This window comes from Homo sapiens, chromosome 1 (assembly GCF_000001405.40).
Source record: "Homo sapiens chromosome 1, GRCh38.p14 Primary Assembly".
Lineage (NCBI taxonomy): Eukaryota > Metazoa > Chordata > Mammalia > Primates > Hominidae > Homo > Homo sapiens.
This window is the reverse complement of record NC_000001.11, coordinates 167,446,082-167,453,766: the sequence shown is the minus strand read 5'-3', so window position 1 is coordinate 167,453,766 and position 7,685 is coordinate 167,446,082. Positions and strand designations below refer to the sequence as shown.

The 7,685-nt window shown below is 46.3% G+C and overlaps 1 protein-coding gene across 6 annotated transcripts in view; it reads left to right on the top strand.

Annotated features, from left to right (window-relative positions):
• The window catches only part of CD247 (CD247 molecule), an 87,890-nt gene that overhangs the window by 64,763 nt on the left and 15,442 nt on the right, over positions 1 to 7,685 (top strand). For 2 of the 6 annotated variants that reach the window (XM_011510145.2, XM_011510144.3), the window contains exon 2: positions 5,280 to 5,424. The exons of the other annotated variants lie outside the window; for them this stretch is intronic. In XM_011510145.2, the coding sequence (XP_011508447.1) occupies positions 5,343 to 5,424 (82 nt within the window). In that variant the 5' untranslated portion in view covers positions 5,280 to 5,342. The remainder of the gene's footprint in view (positions 1 to 5,279; positions 5,425 to 7,685) is intronic. 6 annotated transcript variants of the gene reach the window in all.

Sequence of the window (7,685 nt, the reverse complement as noted above, 5' to 3'; positions counted from 1 at the left end):
CAAACTCCTGAGCTCAAGAAATCCTCCAGCTTCAGCCTCCCAAAGTGCTAGGATTACAGGCATGAGCCACTGCACCTGGCCACCTTTTTTAAAACCTAATTATCTTGAAGATCTTTCATGGTAGCACATGTAGAATTATCTGTTGTGTTTTTTTTAACGGTTATATATGAATACACCAAAATTTATCAGGTTCCTAGTTGATGGACATTTACATTATTTTCTCTGTATACTGTGAGAGTTTATCCTCAGAAAAAATTAAATTCTCAGAGAAATGGCAAAATACTGCCTGGAATTTTGACATAAGGGGTTTGCTCGAAAGTAGATTTTTTTGAAATGGTGCTAATTTTCAAGAGCAAAACTTGAGGGCAGTGTGCTGCGTGAGAAAGAACAAAGGCCCGGCAAGACCTGGCTTCTCGTCCAGGCTCTGACACATGAGCTGTTTGACTGCGGGAGAGTCACTTCACCTCCCTGACCTTCAGTCTCTTTATCTGCAAAGTGGAGCAAATAAGATCTACCCGGCTTACCTCACTCAATTGTTGTTAGGATCAAATGAAATAAAAAATATAAAAGGGTTTTGTAAACTGAAAGTGTAGAGCAAATGTTTGGTATGACAATGATTGTTACAGCATCAGTCCCTGGAGTCAGCCAGAGAAAGCTACATGTCCAAGTTGGCAACAAGAGGTAAGAATAAGTGTCTTTCTCTCTGTATATCTATAATATATATATATATAATATATATCTATAATATATATATATGCACACACACACATACACACACATATTGCTCTCTATGTATATATGTACATGCATACATATATGTTTGTATTGTTCTATTTATGTGTGTGTATATACACATATGTATGCAAGTGTGTGTGTGTATCTTACACTCTATGTGCCTGGCATATAGCAAGTGTTGTCTGCTAACCTGAGAGACTTGTCCACTGGCGTTGGGGGGCTCTTGGTGGAATGAGCGGAGGGAACTGAAACATGCAACCTGCTCACCAAAGGAGATCACTTGCCTGTCATTGTTTACTCCCAGAGCGTGACTGCAGGCATCGTCCCTCCCTCATGTTTCCTTAGCACCCTGTGCCCCTCTCTCGTGGGATGATTTGTTTCCTTGCCCACCTCTCTGCTCGGCTGGGAGGCTACATCTGTGTCTGTCACCTCCACCCTCACTGCCCAGCACAGTGCGTGACATTTTCTCCTAGTAAGGATGGCCACCACATGACCACTCGTGAGGTGCCACTCCTTGGCTTGTAGGTGGCCATCTCTCCCTGTGTCTTTACATCATCTTCACGGCATCTTCCCTCTGTACATGTCTGTGTCCTAATCTCATCTTTTTTTTTTTTTTTTTTGATAGAGTCTTGCTCCCTCGCCCAGGCTGGAGTGCAGTGGCACAATCTCGGCTCACTGCAGCCTCCGCCTCCCGGGTTCAAGGGATTCTCCTGCCTCAGCCTCCTGAAGCCTCATGGTGTACCACCATGCCCAGCTAATTTTTTGTATTTTATTAGAGATGGTTTTTGTTTTGTTTTGTTTTGTTTGAGATGGAGTTTCGCTCTTGTTGCCCAGGCTGGAGTGCAATGGCGTGATCTCGGCTCACTGCAACCTCTGCCTCCCAAGTTCAAGCAATTCTCCTGCCTTAGCCTTCTGAGTAGCTGGGTTTACAAGTGCCTACCACCACACCTGGCTAATTTTTCTGTATTTTCGGTAGAGACGGGGTTTAGCCATGTTGGCCAGGCTAGTCTCAAACTCCTGGCCTCAGGTGATCCACCCGCCTCCACCTCCCAAAGTGCTGGGAATACAGGCATGAGCCACCGCACCCGGCCGAGTTGGGGTTTTACCATGTTGGTCAGGCTGGTCTCAAACTCCTGACCTCAGGTTATCTACCCACCTCAGCCTCCCAAAGTGCTGGGATTACAGGCGTGAGCCACCTCGCCCGACCTAATCTTGTCTTCTTACAAGGACACGAGTCATATTGGATCAGGGCCCCCACTAATGACCTCATTTTAACTTAGTGACCTCTTTCAAGACCTTTTCTTCAAGTACGGTCACATTCTGAGGTGTTGGGAGTTAGGATTTCAACATAAGAATTTCAGGGGGCAAAATTCAGCCCATAACAGAAATGGAGGCTTAGGGATTATTAGTGTTAATGGATGAGGAAGGAGCAAAAGAGTGAATGGGTTTCACCCTTTCAGGACAAACAACCACTTTCTGGGTGGTTTATGGGGCAAGAGTAGGAAGAGCTTGGTTTTGAGGACCAGGGGAAGAAGAGATGACAATGACTATGTTTGGCTGAATGCAGACAGGTAATGGAGGCTGGCAGTATAGCCTGGATTTTAGGGCTGATTTGAAGCCTGTCCTGGGGCTTGCCGGGGCATCTCCAGTTAGCCCAGGGGCCCAAGGCAACTGTGAACCTTGCCTTGTTCCAGTTGGCTTTAATTTTTTCTTTGAAATGTTATTACCATATTTTAAATAAAAACATAATGTGTCCTTGTCAAAAGAGAAAACCCTGCAGCTGTTCCCCATCTCATTCAGAGTAAAAGCCACTGGCCAAGGAAGTTCTACCTAACAACCCCACACGCTTGTCGCCCTCTTTCCTAGTCTCCTAGAACTTCCCCTCATTCATGCTACCTACCCCTGCTTGCAGTTCAGAGACACTGGGCACAGGTCCACCACACAGCCTTTCCACCTCTGCTCCTCTGCCCGGAGTGCCCTTCCCTGACAGATCTGCACAGCTGAAGCCCGCTCTGACCACCTGTGAAAAACAGGAGACATCTCTTTGTCACTTCATACTTTCATTTCCTTGGCTAGCACTGAGACTGTCTTTTCTTTTCTTTTCTTTTTTTTTTTTTTTTGAGACAGATGCTTGCTCTGTCACCAGGTGGGATTGCAGTGGCTCGATCTCAGCTCACTGCAACCTGTGCCTCCTGGGTTCAAGCGATTCTCCTCCCTCAGCCTCCCGAGTAGCTGGGACTACAGGCACATGCCACCATGCCTGACTAATTTTTGTATTTTTAGTAGAGATGGGGTTTTACCATATTGGCTAGACTGGTCTCGAGCTCCTGACCTAGTGATCTGCCTGCCTCGGCCTTCCAAAGTGCTGGGATTGGCATGAGCCACTGCTCCCAGTATGTCTTTTTATATGTTTGTAAGTAATCTGTTTTCCTGTCTCTGCGAATTGCCTATTTATATCTTTTGCTGATTTATCTCTTGGACTATTAGTCTTAGCTTTCATTTTTCAAAGTATTATTATTTATTCACTTATTTTTTTTTGAGACAGGGTCTCACTCTGTCAACCAGGCTGGAGTGCAGTGACACGGTCAGGGCTCACTGCAGTTTTGACCTCCTGGGCTCAAGTGATCCTCGCACCTCAGCCTCCTGAGTAGCTGTGACTAAGGCATGCACCATCATGCCCAGCTAATTTTTTATTTTTTGTAGAGGGAGGGTCTTGCCATGTTGCCCAGGCTGGTCTCTAACTCCTGGGCTCAAGCAGTCCTGCTAGCTTGGCCTCGCCAAGTGTTGGGATTACAGGCCTGAGCCACCGCACCTGGCCCATTTTTCAAGCTATTATTGATGGAATTCCAATCCTGTAAAAAGCTTTAGGAATGAAGCTGTTCATCTTAGAATTATTTATAATGGTGAAAAATTGGAAACAAATGAGCACCAATGGGGAATGGTTATGTAGATAGTGGAAAGCTTATTAGGCAACCTTTAAAAAGGATATTTATTAATAGTAAAATGACAAAGTAACATGAAATATGAATATATGAAATAACATGAAGTCTTAGATTATAACATAATACTAAATGAAAAAAACAATTCTTCAGGAAATTTTTTTTTTTTTGAGACAGAGTCTCACTTTGTCACCCAGGCTGACATGCAATGACGCAATCTTGGCTCACTGCAGCCTCCACGTCCCAAGTTCAAGTGATTCTCCTGCCTCAGCCTCCCAAGTAGCTGGGATTATAGGCACGTGCCACCATGCCCGGCTAATTTTCATACTTTTAGTAGAGAGAGGGTTTCACCATGTTGGCCAGGCTGGTCTCAAACTCCTGACCTCAGGCGATCTGCCCACCTCGGCCTCCCAACGTACTGGGATTACAGGCGTGAGCCACTGCACCTGCCCGTGGAAAGTTGTTATGTAAAATGATTACAGTTTATAAATAACAAAGACTTTGGTCAGCCATCTGCCATCATATTAATAATGGCTGTGTTTGAAAGTGGTATTATGGGCAATTCTGATTTTTTCCTACTTTTCTGCACTTTTATATTAAGTTGATTTACTTGAAAATGAAAAGAAAAATGATCACAAAGGCTGGGCTCGGTGGCTCACACCTGTAATCCCAGCACTTTGGGAGGCTGAGGCGGGTGGATTACCTGAGGTCAGGAGTTTGAGAACAGCCTGGCCAACATGGTGAAACCCCGTCTCTGCTAAAAATACAAAAAATTAGCCAGGTGTGGTGGCAGGTGCCTGTAATCATGGCTGCCTGGGAGGCTGAGGCAGGAGAATCGCTTGAACCTGGGAGGCGGAGGTTGCAGTCAGCCAAGATCATGCCACTGCACTCCAGCCTGGGCAACAAAGCGAGACTCTGTCTCAAAAAAAAAAAAAAAAAAAAAGAAAAGAAAAATGATCACAAAGTATCGCTCAAAACATAACAACTTTAATGGAAATAAAAATACAAGAAGAGAAACATTTGCTCATAAAGCGCTACCCCTAAGAAATCATACAGCCCTGTTCTTCCCTCTTCCCTTGGAACCCTTATCTATGGGAATACATAATTTGTAGGTAGTTTTGAACAAATGATCCAATTTTACAATGAAACATGAATATTTGAAATCTGACACTGAGGAGAGAATTAAGGAGGCTGTGGTACTTTTTAAAAAAATTTTTGTTTATTTATTTTTTTAGACAGAGTCTCACTCTATGGCCCAGGCTGGAGTGCAGTGGTGCTATCTCAACTCACTGCAACCTCCACCTCCTGGGTTCAAGCGATTCTTTTGCCTCAGCGTCTTGAGTAGCTGGTATTACAGGCGCCCGCCACCACACCTAGCTAATTTTTTGTATTTTTAGTAGAGATGTGGTTTCACCCTGTTGGCCAGGCTGGTAGCAAATTAAAGAGAGTAGTAAAACATTATATGTTGCCAGTAAATTAGCTGGAGTCGTTCTGCAGTTCAGGGTGATTGAGGTATCTCCAGTGGGTCATTGCTATAAGCACTGGGCAGTGTGAGTCCTGGCCTCACATTTGGTAGCAGGCCTTCTGTATCTGTCAACCCCCCAGGCCGGCCTCTCAGCCCTCAATGAAAGAAAGCTAATTGTAGAGTCAAGAATATGACCTGCTATAATGGTTCGATCCTGGGAGAAGGGACTCCACAGCCTGGTGAGGACCCCTCTCACCACCTCTGAGGATCAGCAAGTCTTTGAAGGTCAGTACCAAGTGGTGGTTAAGACCTGGACTGTGGATCCAGATGTGCCTGGATTCAACCCTGGCTGTAGACATTAGGCATGTTATTAACTTCTCTGAGCCTCAGTTTCCCTAGCTGTGAAATCAGAGTCACTGTGAAGACTGAATGAGAAAACTCACACGTGTGGTTCCTGGCCCAGAACAAATCTTCAACCAGTGGTTATAACTATTACTCTGTGTGTCTAGCCTATATCTTTTCTGCTGCAGTGAAAGTTAGTTATTCGATGAAAGGGAGCAACCCACTGAGGGGGATGGTCTGGGTGCCTGGATGCTGTGGTCAATGGGTCGGCATCACACCCAGCACCCTGCCCAACACAGACACCGCCCCCACCCCCCCACCCATAGCTGCTGCCACTGCCTTCCTAAGAACAGTGACTTCCTGTTTTCTAAGTTTTTACCCTGCAATGTCATCACCAGTTGTGCCTGAGCCTGGGGGTGGAGCTGGCAGCAGCAGGACTCAGGGCTCAAAGTTGGGGACTCAAAGGAAGGAAGGTTGGCGAGTAGAAAGCTGGCCACTCCTACCTGGATCATGAGCTACTGTGATTCATATTGATTCCATCAGTGCCTACAAACTGAGCGCTTACCAGGTACCAAGCCCTTCCCATTTGAGTGTCACACACCCTGGGAGGTCGCTGTGATTACTCAGTGATTACACAGTAGCAACACCAGGACTTGGATTGCAGTTGTCGCCTTCGTAGGATTCATTCTTACCTGCCGTGCTTCCTATCAAAGTGGAAACAAGCTGGACGGGGGTGAGGTTTGAAAGGCTGCCCTATAGAAATTGGAGGATCTGTGTGATTTGTGCTTCTGAAGGCAGAACTAGGTTCAAAGTTTTTTTTTTAACTCTGAAAATTAGAGCTCTCCACCAGTGATTGCTGGGTGCTGAGCTTCCTGTCACCAGAGATATTCAAGCAGAGGCCAGAAGTGCCTACCAAAGAAGAAACTCCTGAAAGAGGTGGGAAGCTCTCTATATGACAGGAACCCCAGAGGCACTGGGATAAGGTAGATTGAGAAGGGACTTTGCATCAGATGCACTCAGAAAATCTCTAGCCATGTGACCTATTGGAGCTGCAACGTCATTATCTGCAAAATAGAATTGGTAATAATTCTGCCCGTATTGTGCAAGGTTGTTCTGAGGATTAAGCCAGATCATGCAAGTGCAAAGAGCTCTCTAAACTGTATGCTTCATGCATGTGTTACATCATTATCATTTTGTGAAGTGAGGAGTTCTCAGAAAGTCTACACACTACTGAGCTCCCACTGTGTGCCAGGCACTTTGTACACACCCATTATCTCTTTTTATTTTTTTTGAGACGGAGTCCCACTCTGTTGTCCAGGCTGGAGTGTAGTGGCGTAATCTCCGCTTACTGCAAGCTCCACCTCCTGGGTTCACACCATTCTCCTGCCTCAGCCTCCTGAGCAGCTGGGACCACAGGTGCCTGCCACCACGCCCGGCTAATTTTTTTGTATTTTTTAGTAGAGACGGGGTTTCACCATGTTAGCCAGGATGGTCTCGATCTCCTGACCTCATGATCCGCCCGCCTCGGCCTCCCAAAGTGCTGGGATTATAGGCGTGAGCCACCGCGCCTGGCCCCCATTATCTGTTTTTATCTTCAAACACCCCTGAAGAGTGGGTATCCCCATCCTGGGCTGGGAAACCTGGCCAGGTTCTGTCCCCAACCGTGGCATGATGGTGTGGGAGGTCAGAGGGCCATCCCCTGCTGTCACTCCTTGTACCTGCAGAGCCTCTTAGCATGCGCCACTGTGCAGGGCACCCCACAAACTTTACCTCATTTCTCTGCACCCGTGAAATCGGTCTTGTCAAAGCCCTTCTGCAGATAGGAGAATTGACGCTCAGAGAGGTTAAGAAAACTGTTCCAAAACAAGCCAATAATGGGGCAGATTCCACATTTGAGTCTTAGAGTCTTTCTGACTCAAAGACTTATTATGTTCTTTGCTCTTCTCTAAGCCTGTGATGTGCGGGTGAGGAGGGAAAGGTGCAAATGAAACTATAAGGCACCATCTGTGCTTGCCAGAGCCAGTGGTGGGGGGCGGACTTGAAGTGGAACGTTTACAAGCCGTTGTGACTAAGTGTCAAAAGTGGGCAAAATGGCAAGGGCTGTGAAATCAGAGGTAGGTGGAAACTCCGGATCCTGAGCCCATAGGTCAGCTGCATCGAAGCCATAAGGCTAAGAGAAGTACCTGGAGTCAGGAGACCCAGGA